Source organism: Homo sapiens, chromosome 18 (genome assembly GCF_000001405.40).
Source record: "Homo sapiens chromosome 18, GRCh38.p14 Primary Assembly".
Classification (NCBI taxonomy): domain Eukaryota; kingdom Metazoa; phylum Chordata; class Mammalia; order Primates; family Hominidae; genus Homo; species Homo sapiens.
In genome coordinates this window covers 5,298,527-5,325,233 of record NC_000018.10, presented here as the reverse complement: position 1 = coordinate 5,325,233, position 26,707 = coordinate 5,298,527, and the positions used below count along the sequence as shown (strand labels likewise).

The window sequence follows — 26,707 nt, the reverse complement described above, 5'->3', positions numbered from 1 at the left end:
CTTGTGAGGTGTTGCGGAAGTTGGGCCTGCAGAATGATGCTGCTTGGCTTCCTGGATTCCACCCCCTTTCTAGGGTAATGTACAGATGAATCTCCCACCTCACCGGGATTTCCGGGGCTGGAGTATGTAAAACTCCTGGGTCTCTGTGTGTGCCTGAGCGGCTGCTCTGCCAAGATTCTGGGCAACGCTGTGGATCAGAGCCAAGGCCCTGGTAGTATGGGCTCACGAGGGGATCTCTTGATCCATGGTTTGCAAAGATCCATGGGAGAAGTGTGGTTTCCTGGGCAGGGTTGCACAATCACTCACCACTCCCCTTGGTTGGGAGCAGGAGTTCCTCTGGCTCTGTGCTGCTCCCAGGTGGCTTGTTGCCCCACCCCGCCTTTCTTCATTCTCTGAAGGTCAAGTTGTCCACCTAGTCAGTCCCAATGCAGGAACCTGGGTATTTCTGTTGAAGGTGCTGAATTCACTCACTGTTTTCATTCTTCTCCATGACAGCCATGGACTGCAGCTTCTTCTAATCTGCCATCTTGGACCCTCACACAATATGCTCTTTTTCTTTCAATATTTTCATTACAAACATATATATGTGTATATATATTTATTGTGCACCTTTATGTTCTGTCTTCATCATTCCCTATCTTGAGATCTATGTTCTGATTTAATTGCACTCAACTTTCATTTCACTTGATTTAATTGCATGCTTCAGTAAGTTCCTTGGATACGGTATTTGGGCAGCATAAAATATGTATATTGGCTTATCTGAAAATGCCTTTTATTCTGGAAGAGATGAAATATAGCTCTGATGTATAATGGTTTTTTTAGATCTGTTCTCTTTTCAACTAGTGTTACCAATGAGAAGTCTGACATTAGTCTGTTTTTTTCTCCTTCTGTGTAGTATCCAATGTGTTCTCTTTAACTTGGAGCTCAGAAGTTTTACTAGGGTGTGTGTGTGTGTGTGTGTGTGTGTGTGTGACCATTAATCCTGATGGGATTCATTCTGTCCTTTCATTATATTCTCAATTTTTTCCCTTCAAATTAGAAAAAAGAATTCTTCCTGTTAATTATTCTTCTCTGTGTATTACTTTTTCATCTTTGAACATCCTATTCCTTGAATATATAGTCTCCCAGGCTTCATCTTTTCATACCTCCTATCTTTCCTCCCACAGTTTTCATCTCTTTATATTTCTACCTTATCTACTACTATTTCTTTCGATTGATCTTCAGATCACTACTGGTTTTTTCAGGTCAAATACAAATTTTTATTTTAGCTGGTTTTCTTAGATGCTCTAGTAGTTTTACCACGAAAGTAATTTTAAAGTATTTTTTCCTGCTTTTCTATTAGCTAACTGTACTGAGAGTCAATTTCATATACCTCTGGTTTCTAAGACTTCTTATGTGATTTGTTTTTTGAAGCTGGTTATGGTTCAGGATTGCCTCACTCAAGCCCTGAGGGTCTCTGGAGCAGTGTCAAACAATTAATAGTGGAAGAGACAGAAAATTCTATTATCATAAATAGGTGGTTAAAATAAACCTTGTCAGAATCCAAACACCCACTTAAGACAGAAGGAAGAACCCTCTTTGCTGTCAGGCCTTCCTAAGAATAAGATGTAGCTTTTCCTCAACAATGGACACTAAATAACTCAGTCACTCAATAGACTTTCCTTCAATGGACTTGAGTGAGCAAAGGCTGACAGACCCTTCTAGGGTAACAGGAATACAAATAGTGTTAGAGACATCTGGACCCTCTGAAATCACACGATCTGGTTTTTAATCTCTGGCCTCAGTGACAATCAAGCACTCTACTCTGAAGGTAATTTACCTTCTTCCTGAGATCCTGTTAGACTCTACAGCTTCATACGTGTCCTAGGTGCTCTGCTAGCTTTCATCCTTTGCTGAAGTATCCCTACAGAAAAGGAGTTAAGAGGGAGTTGAAGTCAAAGGTACGTGTTTAAGTTACCATCTTCACAGGACTCCATCACTGAACTTTCCTTCCTGCCATAATTGTCTACTTTCTCTTCTTGTCAATCTGAGCAACTCCAAGCTCTTTAGATCTCAGTTTTCTATTGATTTCCCATATCACTTCTCCAGCATTTGGGATCAGAGCCATAACCAAACTTCCTGGGCCCCAGTTACAGAATCAGGAAGGTGGCTATGCAGGTATCCCTCCTCCCTCCCTGTTCCACACTGTCTAGAGTGCAAGGGCATCTTTCCTTCTGCCAGTGCCTTTTTGCCCCGAGCCATTGTTTATCCCGTTTTCCTTGTTTTACTTTCTCAGTCTAGATGCTGAAATATTTTAGTTTGGTTATTTTTCATTAGGTTTCTGGATATCCTCTTACTTCATTTTTCCCCATTGTCACTCTCAGGGAAGCCCTTTAAACTCCCTTCCTTAAAGTCAACTTGATACCTTTTTAAAGAAACATACCTGACAGAGGATCACATGAGGTCCCATCCTCAAAGACCTCACTGTCCAATGGGGGAATTGGGAAAATAGACTCCTTCATTACGGTATTATAGATGTTATGACATGTAGTGAGTTGAATAGTGCCCCCCCCACCACAAAATTCATGTTCAACTGGAACCTCAGAATGTGATCTTGTCTGGGAATAGTAGCTCATGCCTATAGTCCCAGTGCTGAGGGAGGCCAAGGTGGCAGAATCACTTGAGGCCAGGAGTTTGAGAACAACTTGGGCAACACAGTGAGACCTCATCTCTACCCAAAAAAAACTATCTGGGGCCAGGCGTGGTGTCTCATGCCTGTAATCCCAACACTTTGGGGGGCCAAGGCAGGCGGATCACGAGGTCAGGAGATTGAGACCATCCTGGCCAACATGGTGAAACCCGGTCTCTACTAAAAATACGAAAATTAGCCAGGCGTGGTGGCGCACACCTGTAATCCCAGCTACTTGGGAGGCTGAGGCAGGAGAATTGCTTGAACCCGGGAGGCGGAGGTTGCAGTGAGCCAAGATCACGCCACTGCACTCCAGCCTGGCAACAGAGTGAGACTCCATAAAAAAAAAAAAAATTATCTGGATGTGGTGGCACAATAGTCCTAGCTGCTTGGGAGGCTGATCAGGGAGGATCACATGAGCCCAAGAGTTCAAGGCTGCAGTGAGCTAGGATCACAATACTGGACTCTTGCCTGGGCAACAGAGCAAGACCCTGTCTCTAAAAATAAAACTTAAAAAAGTGATCTTATTTGGAAATGGGTCTTTGTAAATGTAATTACATAAGATCAGTTCACACTTGATACTAACAAATACTAGTTTGTATTTGCCACCCCAGAATCCATTCTTCCCCTTTGCTCCCCCACCTTTCTTTCCAGTATGGCACGTGGCTGCGCATCCACGCACCGCATTTCCTTGCATTCTGAGCTGCTTGGTAGGGCCATGTGACCAAGGTCTCACCAATGAAATATGAGTGAACTGATGTGTGCAAATAATATATCATTTCCTTAAAAGAATGCTTGGCTCTCTACTTTTTTTTCTTCCCTTTTTCCTGCTAGCTGACCAGGTATGTAGTACTGTAAATCAGCTTTTACCATACAGAGGAGGATGATACACTATATTCTAGAACAGCACTGTTTCATAGAAATATAGCGTGAGCCACAAATGTAAGTAAAAATTTGTAAGCTTTAAAAAAATACAAAGAAATGGATGAAATTAAATTTAATAACATTTTTAACTCAGTACATTCAAAATATTATTTCAAAATGCAATCAATAGAAAATTATTAATGAGATTGATTATGCCTTTTTTTATTCCCACCAATCTTTTAAATACAACATTTATACTTACAACATATCCTAATTTGGACTAGCTACATTTTAAGAGCTGAATAGCCACACGTGGGCGTTGGCTGCCATATTGGATGGAGCAGCTCTGGAGCATGGCAGAGCATCATGGTAGGAGGAAGTTGAGTCCATGGTGCAGACCCCTCCCCCGTGCAAGCTCCCCTGAACTATCTAACTATGGCTATTATATACAAAAACAAACTTTTACCTTGTTGGGGCCAGTGGGTTTTTTTAGTTTCTTTATTGTAGAAGCTTAGCCTGTATCTCACACTTACTTACACTTAATTTCACACCTGTAGCAATACTAATATAGTACCTCATTGAAAATGCCTTTGTTCAAGGCAGCTAGAAGGTTTATACAATATCTAAAATGTAAGGAATTATAACTGAAAGTCTCTGGTAATATAATGCTTGAAGAAGTACCTGGAGGACCAGATATTTCATAGTAAACTATGTCTCACTTCCATCTATTTTTTATTTTTTAGCTGTCTGTTGACTTCATGCGTCCATTGCTTCTCTCTCATATTTTTCTTTGGAACCCTTGTGTTTTATAGGAACTGTTTATGACTGAATTAAAAGATGTTATGTACAGGATATATTGTAGGTGCAATAAAAACTCAAAGGACAGAAAGTGAAGTACAAATAAAGTTAAACTAGAAAGAAGTTAGTTGTATCAAATTAGGGAAAATTTAATTGTTAAAAGAGAAAATCATACAAGCACATAATTGCATTTTCAAGAACATTTAAAATTTCTGCTATATGCTAGACATTGAATTAGACAGCAAAAATTCAAAGATGAGTATTACATGGATCCATCCTCAAAGACCTCACTGTCTGATGGGGGAAATGGAAAAATAGACTCCTTCATTACAGTATTACAAATGTCATGACATGTAGTGGGTTGAATATTGTGCCGCCATAAAATTCATGTCCAACTGGAACCTCAGAATGTAATACTGTCTGGGCACAGTAGCTCATGCCTATAATCCTAGTGCTGAGGGAGGCCAAGGTGGCAGAATCACTTGAGGCCAAGAGTTTGAGAGCAGCCTGGGCAACACAGTGAGACCTCATGTCTCCCAAAAATTATCTGGGCTTGGCGACACACATCTGCAGTCCTAGCCGCTTGGGAGGCTGATTGAGGAGGATCACATGAGCCCAAGAGTTCAAGGCTGCAGTGAGCTAGGATCATACCACTGCACTCTCACCTGGGCAACAGAGCAATATCCTGTCTCTAAAAATAAAAATTAAAAATTTTAAAAAAATTGTGATCTTATTTGGTAATGGGTCTGTGTAAATGTAATTACTTAAGATCAGGTCACACTTGATAGGCCCTAAATCTAATGACTGGTGTCCTTATAAGGAGAGGAGATGACACAGAGAGGATCAGGTGAAGACAGAGGCAGAGATTAGAGTGAGGCATTTGCAAGCCAAAGAACATCAAGGGTTGTCTGGGATACCAGGGGCTAGAAGAGGCAAGGAAAGAATGTTCCCTGGAGTCTTCAGAGAGACACTGTGATTGTGGACTTCGAGCATCTAGAACTATGAGAGAATAAATTTCTTCTGTTTTTTGAGACAGAGTCTCACACTGTCACCCAGGCTGGAGTGCAGTGGCATGATCTCAGCTCACTGCAAAGTCGTTCAAATGATTCTCATGCCTCAGGCTTCTGAGTAGCTTCAATTACAGGCATGTGCCACCACGCCTGGCTAATTTTTGTAGTTTTAGTAGACATGGGGTTTCATCATGTTGGCTAGGCTGGTCTCGAACTCCTGGCTTGAACCAGTCTACCTGCCTTGGCCTCCCAAAGTGCTGGAATTACAGGCATGAACCACCGCGCCTGGCCAACTTCTTCTATTTTAACCACCCAGACTTGTAGTAGTTTGTTGTGGCCATTCTGGAAAACTGATGCAAGGTAAAATGAAGCAGTGACCTTGGGGAGCACATAGGAGGAGCAGCAACTTGGACTGGGCACCGAGAAAGATTTGTAGGTGGAGAGGACTGAGTCTTGAGACATGAGTACAAGTTGGGCAGCTGAAATGGGAAACCGAGGATTTGTGAGAGAATTCCAGCAGAAAGGATAAGCAGGTGCAAGGTTCCTGTCAGCATGAGAGCATGGCACATTTTTGAGACCTCAGGCATTTGTTTTAGCAAAACTCTAGGATGCAACAGAGGAGAGAGGTTGGAGATGAGATCAATGAGGTATGGAAAGAATGGCTTTAAAAAGGCCTTGAGGTCCATGGCAAAGAGGTAAGCTTTATCTTATAGGTGCTCTAGAACCTGTACAGGTTTTCAGTTGGGTGTCACGGGTTGGTGGCTGACCAGATTAGATCTGCCTGATAATGAAGATGACACTAAAGAGATGGAATTGATATGATTCAGTGACCAATTATAATTGAGGTGTGAGGAATGGTGAATTTAAGTGTGGTGCTAAGATTTCTGTTATCAATGATTAGGTACCTGCTGATCCCCCCAGATGAGAAAGAAATAGAGGGTTTAAACAGCATAATGATGAGTTCAGTTTTGGAAAAGTTAAGCATATTGGAAACTTGGTATGTAAATCCAGCCAGGGAATAAGAGCCTGGAACACTACCCTTGGGGATATCAACATGTAAGGAATAGACTGGGTGGTAGGATGGAGGGGAGAGAGCAGAAGGGGAGACAGAGATCATAAAAGCCAAGAGAAAGGTCATTTCAGAGCACACATTTTAGTGCAAAGTGCTATTAGGCCTGTGGGCTAGAAAGTGCCGACTAGATTTAACAATAAGACAGGTGATGACCTTAGGAGGTGCTCGCTGGGGTGTTGGTAGCAGAAAACAGATAGAAGTGAGTGGAAGAGAGAATTAAAATAAGAAAGTGGAAATGATAAATACAGACTACTCTTTCAGAGAGCTTAAGTCTTAAGAAAGGAAACAGCAGGAAAGGGCAGATAAGAGAGGGTTGTTTTTTTTTTTTTTTTTTTTTTTTTTCTTAAAAATAGATGATATAAATATATCATGCTGAGGGAATCTTCCGATAAAATAGAAGAGAAGAAAGTTATCTCGTAGAGCAATGATAATGAAGCATCATCTAGGGCAAGATCCTTTTCTGCTGAGACAGGAAGAGGAAAACAATTAATGCATTGGGAGTGAGCCAGCAGAGCAAACCAGGAGGGACTTGAGGGAGTTCCCTGACTTCTCTAAACTGAGGACAGGGCCTTTGCTGAGTGAGGGTGGGCTGCTGGCTAGGGATCTGGTGAGGCACTGACCTCAGTGGTGCCACTTTCTCCTGTGGTTCTCAGTTGTCCAGGAGTTGGTAGTTCAGAGATTAGAAATAGTTGGCATGATTGAGGGTTGGGCCTTTGCCAGGTAGGCATGGGGGAAAAAGGGAGGCAAGGGAATTGAGGTTTTGGGGAAAAAATAATTGAATTAAGTTTCTTTGGAGTTTAGCCTGACAGAGAACGCACCTGTTTAGTCTTATTCAATGTCTTCATTCTACAGAGGGAGAACCTGAGAAATTTGCCCAGGCCAACGTTAGTTGCTGGCAGAGTTGTGTCCAAAATTCTGACCTTTTAATCCTATGGCTTTTCTACTGCACTGACTGAGGCACTCTATTCCATCTGTTTCTTGCTGCATGCTTGGCCAAACTCCTTGGTGGAGTATTTGAACACAGCTGTTAACCATTTGGGATAAGGCAATTGCACGTTGTCTCTCATCTGGCTTTTGAGCATTATTGAGTGGTGCTCCATCTAGATGTGGGTTGCTTGAATTCACCTATTGGTGTTTGGAAACCTTGCTCTTTCTTCTGGTTCCCAGGAGATGTTGAAGAAGCACAGTTAGTATGACAGGAAAGGAAACTGTGTAAGGCATGAAGTTTGTGATTGTAGTGTGCCCTGTGATGGAGTGCTTTCAAAATCTTTTTCCATTTTTTTCCAATCACCATGAAGTCTTTTCTAATGTCAACCCCTTTCATCCCACTTTGAATATTTCTCCTTTGGTGTCACTGTCTTTCTTTGTTGCAAGAAGAAATTGCCATCACTAGGATTAAGGCCATTGTGAAATAGCAAGAGACTGACTCCTTGCCAATATTGCCACAGATATTTCAACACCACCTTCTTGATAGACACACTGAAAATATATCATCATACCTCTGCACCAATCACTTTCTGAAATAAATGCAGTCTCAGTCTTTCAGTCTCTCTATGATTGAAAGGCTCATTCTGAAAAAGAAAAGAATTTGCTATCAATTAGAATTATTCTTAAATAGGGAAGATACATATTGTAAGTACTTAAAGCTTAATTACAGTGATATAAATTATGTAAATAATCACAGATTATTATTAAAATAATTTACATTCTAACAAGTAAAAGATGTTACTGAAGTTTACAGATCCCAAAATAATATAAGCTGAGAATACTGTGAAATACAGACCTTTAAAATAAGAAAATTAACATTAGAACTGGACTGTCAGTAGAATTTATTTAAGTGTTTAAATTGGGTGAACGTTTTATTTTGTTGGATCTCATCACTTTACTCAGGATTTAGGATTAACAAATTTAGCAAGTAAAAATACAGGATGCTTAGCTAAATTTGTATTGCAGATAAACAACCAATAATTTTTAGTGTAAGTATGCATACTTGCATACAAATATATTCATTGTTTATCTGAAATTCAAATTGTACGGGAATGTCCTGGGTTTTATGTGGCAACCTACTCAGGGCTCAGTTAACTTCAGCATGGCAGAAAAACTACCTTTGTCACCAGGCGTGGTCCTGTGTGTTTGCTTCTCAGGAGCCGCCCCTCCCTGTCTCTATGTCTTTGGGCTCACGTGAAATTATCTTTGGGCTGGTGTCTGCTACCTAGGCTGGAAAGTGGATGAAGAATTCAGCCATTTCCACAGAATAAGGACATGTGGACGGTGGCTGGGAAGCAGGAGAGCAGGAGGCTGAGACAGTTCCGAAGGAAAAAGACCCAGGGCCCTCAAATTGCTGGTTTGTCCTCCTATAAAACCTTGGATTGTCATGATTTCATCAAAGCATATCCTTTTAATACTCCTCTGCTGGAACTCTCTTTTTTGAAGTCAGCAAACAGGGTTCAACTTGTTTCTGACTTTTTTCTTTTTTTAGATATGGCATCTCGCTGTGTTGCCCGGGCTGGTCTTAAACTCCTGGGCTCAAGCAATCCTCCCACCTTGGCCTCCCAAAGCTCTGGGATTACAGCTGTGACTAATATTAATACACTTGTATTAATGAAAGTTTCCCAGCCCTCTCCCACCCCCGCCAGATGTTTATTTTACATTCCCGAAGTCTAAGCCAACCTAAACTATGAAGATTTTTCTTCCCCCACCCAACCACCCCCACTCACAAATGGTGAGGGGTAAGGGTTGGTCAGAGTATTGGAAAGAAAGTTATCTAGTAACAGGGTAGAAGAAGGTGGGGGTTTTCCTCAGACTTGAAAGTCTGTGGGTAGTAGGGTGAGGAAAAAGAGAGGGGAGTGGGTGGTGCTATCTGCCTGGGGTCCAGCTGTACTCCCTACCCCATCTTAAAGAATACCCCAGGTTCTGAGAAGAATGTATATTCTGTTGATTTGGGGTGGAGAGTTCTGTTGGTGTCTATTAGGTCTGCTTGGTGCAGAGCTGAGTTCAATTCCTGGATATCCTTTTTAACTTTCTGTCTCGTTTGGTAACTATACTCTGGGTATGATATGGTTATGATAACTGACACTAAGTCAGATAATGGCTCTTTTAAAACATGAAGATAAGTGTGAGTGTGTAGACATATTCACACACACACGTACATATTATATATACATTTGGAAAAAACTTCCAGGCTGCAGTGCAGTGGTGCAATCATAGTTCACCGCAGCCTTGAACTCCTGGGTTCAAGTGATCCTCCCGCCTCAACCTCCCGAATAGCTGGGACTACAGGAATGAACCACTGTGCCTGGCCCAATCTTTTAAAGAATAAATGTAATGTACATTTATTACTCAGCCTCCTGAGTAGCTGGGATTACAGGCACACATCACCACACCCAGCTAATTTTTGTATTTTTAGTAGAGACGGGGTTTCACCATGTTGGTCAGGCTGGTCTCAGAAAATTAGCAAGTGCCAAAAAATGTTAAAAAGGAAACAAATCAGCCACAATTCAGAGATAACTGCTATTAATATTTTGGAATACTGTTTTTCAGTTTTTCCATGTGTAAGTGTTTTAAATATTTGAAATCACACTATCTCACTTAATGTTGAATCATGATCATTTCCCATTGTCAGGCCTTTTCTTTCTTATAAGGAGACCTGTATGTCATATGCAAGATATTTAGAAACATGATATGGGAATTTATCAGTCTCTACAACTCTCCCTGAACATCTTTCTGAAAGAGAACTTCCCTTAGCAGTGATGACCTTTGACTTCAAACTTGCAGCCTAAAATTCTCACCAATAAAGAATTTGTCATTTTTGGAGGGAAAAAATGTATGTAAACTTCATAATATGCCTTTTTTCTTAGGTTTTACAGCTCATACTCTTAAAATATTGCACAAAAAGCAGCATTCTCATGCAAGCATCTTGACCACTCTCGCATCATTTGCATTAGGTTAATTCACCATGTACACTTCTGAAGGCTTAAAGCCTAGCTTAAGGAGCCAAGCACTGATTTTATCATGGCACTTTCTGCTCAAAAGGCAACACTCTCTGTCTGATGTCTCTGCCCCATAGTCAACCCAGTCCCTCTCTGCTTCTGACCAGATGTATGATTTAGATAAGTCTCTGCTGCTCTAGGCCTCAGTTTCCTTACCTATAAAATAGAGGCTTCGACTAGATGATCTAAGGGTTTTTTTACCTTGACATTCATGATTAAAATTAGAGACCAAATTAAGAGAAACGTTCTTTTGTCATTTTCCAAAGGATGTCCAGGAATCTGGGCCCAGAGGCATGGAATGGATATGTAAAACCATGAAGTCTGGTAGAAATAGCACTGGGGACACTGAGCCCAAGGAGCCATTTCCACCTTCCAAACCTAATACCTGCCATCATGAAATAGCTCCACAGTGGCAAGGATTCCTTAGTTTCCCGTCTATTTTGAAATCATGTGGATTCCAAATTTCCTTGAAGCCTATCTTTGGTTGCTCCACATCAACTGGGAATGCATTAGAATTCAATCAATAATGCCCATTGTAACTTTTGGGCGCTTTTCTCTGTGGAAACTAACCTAGGCTCCAGGAAGTCAGATATTAAACAGAAATTCAGTAAATGTTTATTTAATAACAAATGAATGATAGACTACCTAGGTATACTTAGGTTCATGCATTTTTTTTTTTTTTTTTTTTGAGATGGAGTCTCACTCTGTCACCCAGGCTGGAGTGCAGTGGCACTATCTCAGCCCACTGCAACCTCTGCCTCCCAGGTTCAAACAATTCTCCTGCCTCAGCCTCCTGAGTAGCTGGGATTACAGACGCATGTCACCATGCCAAGCTAATTTTTGTATTTTTAGTAGAGACGTGGTTTCACCATGCTGGTCAGGCTGGTCTTAAACTCCTGACCTCGTGATCTGCCTGCCTTGGCCTCTCAAAGTGCTGGGATTACAGGCATGAGCCACCACGCCTGGCCAGGTTCATGCATCTTTTTGGAATAAGCCTTGTGGCACTGGATTGTGAAAAGAATATATTTTTCACAATTTTCTAAATGTAAGGTTTAAGCTATTTGCATGTATAAATTACTAAGAGATTTTCACTCTAGTAGGCAATTTTATATGCTTCTATCTAAATTCATCGTGATAATACAGATGTTGGACCAGATAGCTATTATATTTAGAGGATGTGTATTGCATTCATCTTAGCCTTGTTTTTTTCATGATTAGCCTCTTGGCCATCATTGCAGTGCACTGTAAATACAAAATAAGTGTCCCAAATGCACACAGAGGATGGAATATGATCATATCAAGGGAATGGAATTTACCTTTTGGATTACCTTCCCTGTGCCAGGCACTGTGCATATAGCAATTTAATTATCATTAAAAAGCTCATAGCAACTGGATGAAGTGAGTTCTAATTTATCTGATTTTCTGCATGGGGGAAATATTGTACTTTCCTGAAGTCACATAGCAGGCAACTGAATTGAGGTTCCATCCTAGGTTGATAAAGTTTCAAAGCTCACACAATTTTCACTGTCTGAGAGAAAAAGCAACATTAGACAAAAGGGCATCTTTATCAAATGGAATTGGTTAAAGGAGTGGAAGAAACCTAAGGGACTAAAGACATCAAATAAAAGGGATCTAAAATAGGGGAAAGGCAGAAGACAAATAGGACAAGTTAAAGGAAATGTAGGGCCAGGAGCAGTGGCTCACGTCTGTGATCCCAGCACTTTGGGAAGCCGAAGCAGGTGGATAACCTGAGGTCAGGAGTTCAAGACCAGCCCGGCCAACATGGCAAAACCCCGTCTCTACTAAAAATACAAAAATTAGCCAGACGTGGTGGTGCATGCCTGTAATCGCAGCTACTCAGGAGGCTGAGGCAGAAGAATCGCTTGAACCTGGGAGGTGGAGATTGCAGTGAGCCAAGATCGCAGGCCACTGCACTCTAGCCTGGATGACACAGAGAGACTCCATCTCAAAATAAATAAATAAATACACATTTTTAAAAGGAAATGTAGCTGAAGTCAAAGAGGGGAGAAAGCAGTAAGAGGAAACCAGTAACTGAGTTGCAGCCTGCTAGTGCTTGAAGACTGAGCCACCTTGTGTGGCTTAGTTCTTTACCCAAGATCATGGGGTTTTGGTTTTTTTTTTTTTGAGACAAGTTCTCACTCTGTCACTCAGGCTGGAGTGCAGTGGTGCCATCAGGGCTCACTGCAGCCTCGGCCTTCCTGGGCTCAGATGAGCCTCCCATCTCAGCCTCCCAAGTAGCTGGGACTACAAGCACGTGCCACTATGCCCAGCTAATTTTCTGTATTTTTTGTAAAGACAAGTTTTCATCATGTTTCCCAGGCTGGTCTCAAACTCCTGAGCTTGAGCAATACTCCTGCCTTGGCCTCCCAAATTGCTAGGATTACAGGCCACTGCGCCCAGCCAATCATGGTTTTTTTTTTTTTAAGGTAACAGATTAATGGTCAAATATGTTTATGCATCCCAGCAATGAGATCTTTTTGTGAATTGTCCAACACATTACCTCTATTTTTAACCTTAGCTGTCTTTGGCTTGTTGGGGGACCATGGTATGAGAAGGGGCAGTGGTCAGGGAGTCAGGAGATTCTGACACTTGCCAAAGGCCGCTTGCTGCCTGTGTCACCCTGGACAAGCCTTCTAGCTTCTGAGTCTTAGCTTTTCCATTTCTAAAATACCTACTCTTCCAACCTGTTAATGTTTTGTACATGTACATAAAATGTAGAAAACCCGAGTGAAATACATGCATGCATGTTGATTACACAGCACTGTACAAAAATATCATGATGACTGTTTCAACTAAAAGCTCCTGAGAGTAATATTTGTTCTTCTAACACAAGTGTAGAGAGGAAGGATTCAGGTTACATAAAGGATTCTAGAGATAATTTGGATATAGAGTTCAATCTGGCCTCTCTGGTGACTACAGTGATTTTGGAGATATTGGATTAATGTGCTTTGTACTCACTGAGGAAATAAATCACTTTATGAGTCAAGATTGTATTTAACACCCTCTACAATAAAAATGAGGAATTTCATATGAAGCAATGATTTACTTGTGACTAGAGCTGGCGTCATTCTGACCAAGTTACTGAAGTTGACAGCGGAAGAAATATAAGCATCCAACAGTGAGTTGTTCCAAGTGGAAACGACCATGCTGTTTCCAGAAACATTTGGCAAGCAATCTGTGTGGGGAGAAAATAATAGCAAAGGCAAAAATGAACAAATGACAATCTAGCCATCAATGTGTGCCCCATAGAGTCACGGCAGCTAAGGGAGAGATCTCCTGATTTCAGAGTCATAATTCCTCCTTTTGACTGCATGCAAATAAAGACACGTTGGCTTAATGTGAGCAGATCAGGGAATTTATGAGTCAGCAAAAATGAATAAAAATGCCGGCTAGGTAATAAATAATTGTTTCTATTTACTGCCTAGCTGCTGGCTCTTTAACTTATGTCAGAGGCATAAATAATAAAATCTGAACAGTATAAATGCATGCATATTACCTGGGCTTGAAGTTTAAAGTACAATCAGCATTCCACAATAAAGATTTTTGTAGAATCTATTATTAGATCCCCTTTTGTAGACTTTATACTATTAAAGAATATATTATAACTTCCCTCTTGCCAGCAGATAAAAACAAAATTGTTTCTGGCTTAAATCTCGGGTACTAAAATATTTTCAACTTCCAGAGATTACCAGGATATTCCAAGGTACTTTAGAAAATTTTTGTTTTGGGGAAATAGAGGCTTGTTTGGGGGCAGAAGAAAATGTATCTAGTCATTAATTTCAAACATTGTGCAATTTGCTTTTCCTCACATACAGATATGATCAAGTCCTTTCTCTTTGAAAAGTATGAAACAAACTTCGGCACACAGTTTTTAAAAAATGTTAAAAATTGTCCTTCTGTTGAAGATAAATGAACTAACTGTTACAAACCATTGTGTCTTACATTAGCCATTATTACTGTATTTATTACTTTCAAAGTCATGATCACTGTCTCTCTTCTAAAATGTTATTACAACTCTATCTTATATTTAATTGTGTACTTATTAACCTATTGGAGACTACAGCCCATGATTTGCTATATCATTTTTTAAAAACAACTGATCCTTTTGCTCTTGTATTGTAAAAAAATTTTACCTCTACCATCCCAAATTCCTCACTTCACACCATGACTAAGTTATAGTCTCCTTGAGAGCAGGGATTATAATCCCTTCTGCATAACAGGTGTTCAATATACCTTTGTGGAGTAAATGGCTGGATTGAAGCAGGAGCCTCTTTTCAACGTGCTATGAAAGGGAACAGTGTAAAGAGAAGTTCAGCAACAGCACCAAGTGCCACAAGAGATAATATTATTTCAGCTTACCTTGGGAAAATCTCCAGGTTCATTGCATCTAGCCATGTGAAACTCCTATGCATGCTTAAGACAGTAACAACTATTTAAAGTTTTCTATTCGTCAGTGAGAAAATGAAACTAAGAAAGGAGGAAATCAGCATCTGAGTTCAGGCGTTTGGCATAGTGGTTAAGAGGCACTGGGGTGTTGCAATCTGGGTTCACATCCGAAGCCTGCCATTTGCTAGGTGTATGATGCTAGGCACACTTGTTTAATTTCTAAGTGCTCCCATTTCATCACCTGTAAATGGGAAGACCCACCTCACAGGGTGTTGTGGGAATAATGAGTTAATATGTGTGAAGTGCTTGAAACAATACTGATCTTGACCCATGACAAGTACTGTGTAGGCATTCACTGCTGGCTTTATTACTCTAAAGAAGCCAGCTAGCAGGCCTGGAGAACTAGAGGACCAGAGATTACGTCCATGCTCTGCCGCTAACTAGCTGTGAGTGCTAGTTTGACATCTCTAGGTTTCTGTCTTTGAATCTGTGAAATAAGGGTGTAGGCTACATGGAAGGGCTTCTGGATTTCAAATCCTATCATAATTTATCTGGCCCTTCATTTCCTCCCTTCTAAAATGGAATTGTACAAGGTTGCTGCAATGAATGTGTATGCAAATGCAAAGCAAGTATAGTGTCAGTTTTTAGTGTCAATATAGGGTATATTTGGTGCTATATTCACTACAAAAGCATTTCAATATTAATTTCCAAATCTACTAAGTCCCAATTGCACTGCAAGTATAAAATTAAGTGGTCATAAAAGAAAATAAAGCAACTACAAAATCGTTTTGATAGGATGGTTTGCCCACTGAGCAGCGGCTTCCTCTTCCTTCTCATCTCAAACTTTTCCTCCTGTTTTCACTCAAGGAAGCATGAATTTCTGGAGTGAGAGACATCTTTCTCATTCTTGGTGTCTCTGTAATTTAATACACTCGTATCCTTTTAAAAATTGGATTCTTCATTTCTTTCCTTTTGTTCTAGAAATATGTTTGGCCTACTAATATATTTGCCTCAATTGGGTAAGTTTGGCCCAAGGGTGGGAATATTTAGTAGACTGGTAAAATCTTTCATAGATCTGTAAATGCTGGAGATCCATAGAGAGCACCTGATTTTTGGGAAAAGGATAAAGTAAATACACTATAGTTGATGAACTGATGATTATGTGGGTTTCCTTTACCTGCTGATCACTTGAGTGTAACTAGATTTTACACACACAACAGGTGGGTTTGATCACCTGGTGGGTCACACACTAATGACTGCAACCGAGGAAAATTTAACAAGGGGATTTTATTATTTGCAACAAGTAAGAAGGGCACCAGGGATAGTTCTCAAAGCAGTGCCTCCCAGAAAAATGGTGAAAACAGAGCTTGTATTGGGCTGGTTAGCTGAGTCATTGCATGTAGAGGCAGAATAAAGGTAGACCAGGCATAGACCTGATCATGCTTCTACATATGTCACATGTATAGAACATGGCTAGTAAGCTCCTCCCTGAGCAGGGATTTAGTATGGTAATGAGTGGAGTTCCCCAAAGTTCATCTCCAACTCAGGTACCTCTGGATCCAACCAGTTTCTGTTTTTCCTGAGTTGAGCTTCTCCCTGGAACTTTTTGAAACAATGAGAACTCAAGGCGCAGCAGTTTTAAGTTGGTACTTTTTCACAGTGTGCACCCAAAAACCTGGGGACCCTGGGCTACAGACAGGCAAAAATTTACAAAACTGGAATATATATATATATGTGTGTGTATATATATATATACTATATATATATATGTGTGTATATATATATACACATATATATGTGTGTGTATATATATATACACATATATATGTGTGTGTATATATATACACATATATATGTGTGTGTATATATATATACACATATATATGTGTGTATATATATATACACACACATATATATGGTGTGTGTATATATATGGTGCATGTATATATATATGGTATATATATGGTGTGTATATATATGGTATATATGGTGTGTATATATATGGTATATATATGGAATATATATATAAAAATAGCTACATGTTATATATTATATATATTCCATATATATAATATATACATGTTATATATTATATACATGTTATACATGTATATATGTATGTATACATATACATATATATGTATATATGTATACATATACATATATATGTATATATGTATACATATACATATATACGTATATATACATATATGTATATATGTAAGTATACGTATATATACATATATGTATATATGTATGTATACGTATATATACATATATGTAAGTACATATATGTATGTATAGGTATATATACATATATGTATAGGTATATATATGCATGTACAGGTATATGTATGTACATATATATGCATGCACATATATATGTATTTATATATATGCATGTATATGTATATGCATGTACATATGGATGTATATATGCACGCATGTCTGTACATATGCATGTATGTATGTACATATAAATGTATATATATGTATACATACATGTGTATATATACATGTATATGTATGTATACGTACATACATATGTATGTATACGTGTATGTATACATACATATGTATGTATGCGTACATACATATGTATACGTACATACATATGTATGCTTACACACATGTATGCTTACACACATATGTATGTACGTGTACATACATATGTACACGTACATACATATGTACACGTACATACATATGTACGTGTACATACATATGTACGTGTACATACATATGTATGCATACATATATATGTATACATATTGTATGTATGCGTACATACATGTGTATGCATGTATACATGCATATATGTATGTATGTATACACATATGTATGCATGTATACATATATGTATGTGTATATGTATATATGTACATGTATGTATGCATATGTATAAATGTACATATATGTATATGTATATACGTGCATATATGTATGTATATGTATATACGTGCATATATGTATGTATACGTATATACGTGCATATATGTATGTATATGCATATGTATATATGTACATATATGTACGTATATGCATATGTATATATGTACGTATATGTACGTATATGTATGTGTATATGTACATACACATATATGTATACGTATATGTACATACACATATATGTATACGTATATGTACATACACATATATGTATACGTATATGTACATACACATATATGTATACGTATATGTACATACACATATATGTATACGTATATGTACATACACATATATGTATACGTATATGTACATACACATATATGTATACGTATATGTACATACACATATATGTATACGTATATGTACATACACATATATGTATACGTATATGTACATACACATATATGTATACGTATATGTACATACACATATATGTATACGTATATGTACATACACATATATGTATACGTATATGTACATACACATATATGTATACGTATATGTACATACACATATATGTATACACATATGTACATATATGTACATACACATATATGTATACATATATGTACATACACATATATGTATACATATATGTACATATACATATATGTATACATATATGTACATACACATATATGTATACATATATGTATATATGCTGAGCTTTAATTATATATGTATATACATATATAATATGTATATACATATATATACATGTTATATACATGTCATATAATATATATATTCCATATACATATGGCTAATGTATATCCAGATATATATATTCCATATATATATGGCTTATATATATATATATTTGCTATATAAAATATAATGGGGCTAGGCGTGGTGGGTGGCTCACAACTGTTATCCCAACACTTTGGGAGGCCGAGGCGGGTGGATCATGAGGTCAGGAGATCGAGACCATACTGGCCAACACAGTGAAACCCTGTCTCTACTAAAAACACACAAAAAATAGCTGGGCATGGTGGCACGCACCTGTAGTCCTAGCTACTCGAGAGGCTGAGGCAGGAGGATTGCTTGAACCTGAGAGGCAGAAGTTATAGTGAGCCGACATCGTGCCACTGCACTCCAGCCTGGTGGCAGAGCAAGACTCTGTCTATATCTATATCTATCTATCTATCTATCTATCTATCTATATGTATATATATATGTATATATATGTATGTATAATGGGCTGTATACAATATATGATCATAACATTTTAGAACTGGAAAGGATCTTAAAGCTTACCTAATCAAAATATGGCGATTTAAAACTAGTTCAATGATGTGACAAGAAGGGTACTTCACCTTGTGCTATTTTTTCTAAAATCTCATAACCCCAGTCTAATCGTGAGAAGAATATCAGGTGAACCTAGACTGGGGGAATATTCTACAGGATGCCCAGCTGGTACTTCTCAAGACTGCCAAGGTCATGAAAAACAAGAAAAGACTGAAGAACTGTCACAGACCATATGGGACTTGGGAGGCATGACAAAGAAATGCAATGTGGGACTTTGGATTGTGTCCTGGACCAGAAAGAGAACATTAATGGAAAAACTGAGGAAATACAAGCATGTCTTAAGTTCAGTTAGTAGTAATGCACCAATATCAGCTTTTTAAATGTGGACAAGCATACCACTGTCTTGTAAAGTGTTAACAATGGGAAGAATGAGCTAGAGGGGCATATGGGAGCACTCTGTACTCTCTGTGTAACTTTCCTATAAATCTAAAATTAGTGCAAAGTAAAAAGTTTATTTAAAAATAGATAGACACTTCTTTTGGGAGGCCAAGGCAGGAGGATCAGTTGAGCCCAGGAGCTCAAGAACAGCCTGGGCAACACAGCAAGACCCTGTCTCAAAAAAAAAAGTAACTAGACACTTCTAATGAAAAATAATTACTTTTTTGGTGAAACATTGCTCTAGTGCTGGCCTAGAGTATATGGACTGTTTCAGAGGTCAAACAAATATATTAGTAAATATGTAACTCCCTTGGATGGGAAATTTAACGTAAGCATACTTAAATGTTCCACTATTATTAAGAATTTGTAGGCCTGGCGCAATGGCTCATGCCTGTAATCCCAGCACTTTGGGAGGCCAAGGCGGGTGGATCACCTGAGGTCAGGAGTTCAAGCCAGCCTGGCCAACATGGTGAAACTCCGTCTGTACTAAAAATACAAAAATTAGCCAGATGTGGTGGCAGGTGCCTGTAATCCCAGCTACTCGGGAGGCTGAGGCAGAGAGAATTGCTTAAACCCCAGGATGTGGAGGTTGCAGTGAGCTGAGATTGTTGCACTGCACTCCAGCCTGGACAATAGAGCAAGACTCTGTCTTGAAAAAAAAAATTGTTTGCTTGCATCTTTCCCCATGAGTGTTCATTTTAATTATTCTAAATACAATTTTGCAAATGGTAGAATGAAATTTTGCAAATATCTTTTTCATATTAAATATAGTATAGACTTTTCCGAAAAGATCAGTTTAGAAAGATAAGCTGTTTCGTTCTGAAATTGAAGGCAAAGAATGAGAAGCCAATGACATATTTTGTCTGATCATTTCCTTTTCCATTTACTTAAGTGGTTTAAATATTAGCTCTGAAAAGATCTATATGTCTTTATAAATTTCTTAGGACTCTCATTGAATTGTTTCTTTTTTTAACTGTGGAGATTAAAGCCATAACTTTTATTAATATCACATAAGAGATGTATGGGAAAATATATTAGCTTGTTCCCCAAGCGTAAAGATAGTCATGTAATATTTAGGGTCATCCATTAGTTTTATTATGCTGCAGTTTGAATATAGTAGCAGCTAATAAATTAACTTGCTTAAATTCATGCTTGGCCTGTTCATCACAAAGAAAAACTGGAATTTAGATCCAATGTGAAGGTTAGTTATGCAGATAAATTTGATTGATTCTGAAACAAATTGTGAGAAGAAAACGAACCTTCAACTTATCCAAGTTGACCTCATCTCTGGTCATATTTGCAAGACAGGGAAGGTAAAGGATGCCAGCTAATCTCTAGACAGGACTTTGGACTGACCATGGAAAGTTGGAGGTTTGCATAAAGATACCTTGAATGGAATAAATAATTTAGTGGAGATGTCCTTATCCCTTTCACATCAGTCCATCCTGCAGAACAAAGTATCACCTTCTTAGGTGTTCCAGAATTTAATAATTTGAGTCTGAATTGTTCTCCCTGGAACCCTACTGGTGCTCCTCTTTGGAGTAGAGCAGGACACCCTCCTTCCCTTTCAAGCCTTTCCCCCTCCCTTCTCTGTCAAAGTCCCTAGCTATGACTCTCAGATTATCAGACTACACAATTTACCACCCCTTCCCTGCCACTGTCACTCTACCTCATTCTTGGAAGATTTTAGTTCCTTGACCTCTCTCTCTTAAACCATGCTAGAATTTGCCAAGAAATATGTAAAATTATTGTTATATCAGCATGTGTTACGTATTTTTCTGTTCAATAAACATAAACATAACATCTCAGTAGAAAACAGAAACAAAAACTCTCACACTGTCATCTGTCCTGCATAGATGGGTGCAGGGTGAGGGTGGGCACATGTGTTTCCATGGTACTCTTTTTTTCTAGCTCTGCTTTTGCTGTTTGTTCAAGACAAAAGGCATGCTTTCACCTCAGGACCTTTGCACTTGTTGTTTCTGTCTTCCTGGAAGGCTCTTCATCATTATCTGCACCTGACTGACCTCCTTCACCTCTTTCAGGTTTTTGCTTAACTATTTCCTTCTCAGTGAGGTTTTCCAAACAGCTTTATTTAAAATTGCTTGCCTGCATTTCCAGTCTTCCTATTTCCCTCCACCACATTAGTTTTTTATAGCATTTATCACCAGGTAATGTAATATATATTTCAACTAGGTACTTGTTTGTAGCCTGCCTCTGAGGCAGATACATTTGTGTATTTTGTTCACTGCTATATCCTCAGTGCCTAGAATGGCTGGCACAAAACAGATAGGAAGTGACATACAGCATGCCCTCCAATAAGATCATTCAGTTCAATGGTGTTTCATTATAGCATTGATGGGAAAAAAAAAGAATTGGTTTCTCTATGGGTCATTTTGCTTAAAGTTGCAGTTTCCAAGAATCTTCACAATCTTAAGTGAGGACTTATTGTACTCATAACTATGTATTGAATTAATCAATTAACCTCATGAAGTAGGTACTATCTTTATTCTGATTGTACACATAAGGAAACTAAATTTTGAACCATGAAGTAACCTCTCCAAGAAACATTGGCTTGTAAGTGGTATTGGTTGGACCCAAATCAGTACCCAGACGCTGGGCAATTTGTACTCAGGGGTCTGCACTGCTTTGCTTTTCCTCTGTGAATTAAGTGGAGGACTTGTCTCCTAACTTTGTAAAGGAAGGCTGAAATTTGAGGTAGTAGATAAGAAGCTAAAGAATATTACATTATGGGCTTGAGCTGTTTCAATAGCTATTTGTCCAGCTACTAGGATTTTTAGTTAGACAATGAGAATCTGAAATATATTTTAACATTGTAACCTGAATATTGCAGAGGTACACAAGGTCCTGAGGAGGAAACATGCCCACTCTGCTCAAGGAAGAGCAAAGACTAAGTATGGGTGGCGGGGTGGCAGGGGTGGCAGCAGTGGTACAGAGAAGTGACATGCGCTTTGCACAAACCTATCAGAACAGATGCCGATTGGAGAAATTTTCATTTTGGTTTTTCACTGACTAATGCTGAGAATGAAGTCTTTATGGTTGAGGAAACAATGTAGCTTTTTGATTGTCCAAAATGGGAAACTGTAATTTTAGCTCACCATAACTATGGCTAAATGCATTGCAGGTTTTTTTTCGAGTTTTAATAATTCTTGGCAGTGTGATGATAATTTTGATGAAATAAAATGTTAAATTCTAAACCACACTGATGAGTTCATTCTATATGCAATAGGCGCATTACAGTAAACAGTTTACTAAACACCAGAAATAATGTAACACAGTTTGCCAATTACAGGCGGAAAATGTTATGATGATAGAAGACCAGTTTTGAAAAAAGTAGCAAAAAAATGATTATAAACAGTTTGGGTCACAGAGAAAATAATTTGATGTAAGTAGAATTTGGTAGATATTTCTATGAAGCATTAAGAACAGATTTAATTTGAATGCCAGCTGCAAGTTAGAAAAGCATCACTCCTATAGAGTGCAATGGTTCAGACATCCTGGAGTGTCATAGGTCTGGATACCTTCCCAGAGTAGAAGAGTAATTGACAGGTATCAGCCCATATGATGGATGAAGAGATGTTCCATACTTTGAAAGTGTTCACATTTTTTAAAAAAATGCCCAGAGGAAACTAATTTCAGCTTCAATAACATGCTGGTTCAAAGAGAATAAAATATTTTGAATATTAATATAAGAATACATGTTTCACTCTAGCAGATGAAATATTCTTTGCTCAAGGACAAAAGTCAAACCTTAACGTTGGTCCTCCAGAAAAGAAGAAAACTCTCAAGTGTAGCTGAGTGCTCTACTCTGCTGTAAGTGAAGTAGCTGAGCTTTGTAACTGAGAGAAGAAAAAAAGGTAATCAAAGTTATCCTGAGTTTTTAGGAACGAGGACTATAATAATATAATGGTATTCTTGGTAATGGAGAAAGCTACAGCAAGGAAGAGAGGAAGTCTTTCCCTTGATGTACTAAACTTAAAATGATGCAAACACTCTGATACAGGTGTTTTACCAGAAGACAAATCACAGAATATGAAAAAAGAGCAGTGTTGGTTTTGAAGAATATGAAACAGGTTTACAAATAAAAAACAAAGGGCAGATCCATGAGTAATTTTGCAGCAGGAAAAAATTGATATACATTACAATACACATTATTGAAACAATTGGTAAAATTTAAATATAAACACATTAGATAATAGTATCGTATCGATGTTAAATACTTAATTTTGACTATTGTATTATAGTCATGTAAGAGTGTCCTATTCTAGGAAATACACACTGAGGTATTTAGGTGAAAGAAGGATATTTGTACCTTACTCTTAAACGATGGCTCAGTGTGTGAGAGTGTGTGTGCCTGTGTGTGTGTGTGTCTGGAGACAGTGTGCACGTGTGAGCACAAATGATTAAGCAAATGAAGGCAAAATGTTACAACTGGTAAATCTGGATAAAAGTAAAATGCACACAGGACTTCTTTTTTACTATATTCATGCAAATTTTCTGTAAGTTAGCATTATACCAAAATAAGAAGTTACCAAAAAAAGATAACTCAAAAATATTCCCATGTAATTGGAAACAATATCATAAAATCATACATTACATTGGAATATTTTGGGTTAGTAGCATTATTAAATAACATGAATTTAAAAAGTAATGAAGAAACCAAAGAAATACATAGAACTGAATATAAATAAAATAACATGAAAAAAATACGTTGAAAAGGAGAAAGCAGTCCTTAGAAGGAAATTTACAGCTCTTTAAAATCAACATGTCAGGAAACAAGAAAGCTTATCACCAAGCCAGCAGGGAATTTACCATTTTTTTTCCTTCTCGTTCTTCTGCCACTTGGCTGTAGATTAGAGTGTAGCCATGGAAGTGCCCCAACTTTCTGGATGTAGGATCAGAAAAGGGAGTTCCAGGAAGGTAGAAAGTACCAGGGAAATCAGAAGAGGAATGAGCCCAGGAAAGTGAGCCCCTAAAGTTGTTTATGAACCTCTAAGCTCCCCCTTGAGCTGCACATGCTGGGTCTGAGCCTAGTCAGCACATAAAAGACTTTGAGAATTGAACTAACAGATCATCAGATCCTAGACTGGCCAATGCCTGGAGCATATGAAACAGATCCAAGTAGCAGTCCGAAACCATCAAACCACAGCACACAGAAAGTGTGTTAAAACTGGTCACCAGAACGTAACCCGATTGTCTATTAAAATTAAAATATCAACATTTGCCACAGGATTTAAACAAGACCCAGGGTATTATAACATAATATTTAAAATGTTCAAGATGCAATCCAAAATAATTCAGCATACAAAGACCCAGGAAATCTCAACTCACGTATGAAAAAACAATCAACAGATGGCAACATTGAGATGACAATGATGTTGGAATTAAGTAAAAAGACTTAGAGGCAACTATTATAAATTCTCCAACAAGCAATTATGAACACTCTTAAATCGAAAAATAGGAAGTCTTAGCAAAGAAATAGAAGATATAAAGAAAAATACAATGAAAAAATTTAAAACTGAAAAATACAAGTGAAACAAAAAAACTCACTGGACAGGCTAAATGGCAGGGTGGAAACGACAAAAGAACAAGTCAGTGAATTGTAGAGAATCAATAGAGACTATTTCATCTGAACAACACAGAGAAAATATTTTAAAAAATGAAAAGACTTATGGTCCTATGACATAATTTTTAAAAAACTCAACGTTCCTGTCATTGGAATCTCAACAAAGGAGAAATAGTATGCTGTTGAAAAAAAATGTGAAAAAAATAATAGCTGAAAGCTTCCCAAATTTAGAGAAAGATATAAATAAACCTATGTATTTAAGAAGCTCGGCAATCCCCAAACAGTATAAGCAATGAAATCCCTACTCAGAAAACACCATAATCAAAATGCTGAAAACTAAAGACAAAGAAAAAAATCTTGAAAGTATCTAGGAAAAAATAATTACATGAACAGGAATAATTTTCGTTTTACAATAATATTGGATTTATGGAAGAGTTGTCAAGATAACACAGAGTGTTTCCAGAAACTCTTCACCCAGTTTCCTCGATGTTAACCCAAAAGGCAATGAGGAAATCTAAATGACCAGGTTCCAGAGGAAGAAGAAACAAGTGTCTGGTGCCCAGAGACGACCAGATGCCCCACCAGTTCTGATCCATAGGAGAATGATCGTTCCACATGGCCAACTCCATCCTCATGCAGCAATTCCTCCACAAGCACAAGACAAGCTTGTCCTGATGTTCCTTGCCCTGGCAGATGTTCAGGACCTTCCTTTGATTCAACCCCTCCACCTAAATGGCCCAAGCTTTCGGGGCTGTCATTGTGAAGACCCCTTCCTATAAACCACAAGGCCCTACAGGTGCTGGACACTGTTGTTCTCACAAACACATCTCATGTCCACTTTTGCAGAGACTGAGGTACTTCAAGCTCCTTCCACCCTTGCATTCACTTTGTTCCTGTCTCTGTCTTGAAATGCTATTTCTTCCCCCTCTTTGCGAATCTCTCCCTCATCTTTCAGGTCTTAAATGTATGCCTTTGAAGAAGCTTTCACTGATTTCCCAGGCAAAATTAATTCCTCCTGTTCCTCTTTTTCATCACATTCTGTGTTTTTTAACTTTCTATAAAAACACTTATTGCAATGTGCAATTGTGTAACGATGTGATTATTTGTTGAATGTGCACATCAGTATCTCCATGATGACACGGATTGGATCGGGTTTTTGTTCATTTGCTGTATCAAGTGTTCTCAGAGTCACAGGGGGAAGGTGGTTATGGCATTGGGTGTGACACTTTTCCTTGCACAGATGTATTAGATTTTGTTCAGTAACAAAGCATAAAACCCAACCTCCCAGTGGCTTATAAAACAAACATTTACTTCTCAGTCATAGGTCTGTGGGTGAGTTGTCTTCTCTCTAGGCTTGGCTGTGCTCAGGTTTTGGGTTGGCTTCATTCTCAGGTCTGTTTGTCATTCAAGGGCCCAAGCTGAAGAGGGGGTTGTGGCCTAACCATGGTCGTGTTGTGCTGGACGTCACAGCAGAGGAGGAGGCGCAGAACAAAGGCTGCTCTCAAAACCTCTACTCAGACCCGGCCCACTCTCATCTGCTGGTATCCTGCTGTTTCAAAACCAGCCAGAGGGCCCAAGGTCAACATGAGGGAGAAATCAACCTCCCCCGCCTGTGAGACATAATGTTTCCAAACGGTCCCTTACTGGGCTGCTCTGTAACCACATCAGACCCTGGCACCC

General features: G+C 38.6%; 1 long non-coding RNA gene across 1 annotated transcript, besides 1 other annotated feature; it reads right to left on the bottom strand.

The window, feature by feature from the left end:
- Window positions 1-6,417: 6,417 nt before the first annotated feature.
- On the bottom strand, window positions 6,418-14,877 carry LOC107985144 (uncharacterized). The gene is made up of 3 exons (XR_001753330.2): window positions 14,782-14,877; window positions 13,469-13,597; window positions 6,418-7,983 (listed from the first exon to the last, which is right to left on the bottom strand). It is a non-coding gene; the product is annotated as an uncharacterized LOC107985144 (long non-coding RNA).
- Window positions 14,759-15,008: an enhancer, noted in NCBI's record as "active region_13056". NCBI's record gives its function as "activates an Ori minimal core promoter by ATAC-STARR-seq in GM12878 lymphoblastoid cells {active_cell/tissue: GM12878}" and the evidence as "EXISTENCE:reporter gene assay evidence [ECO:0000049][PMID:35858748]".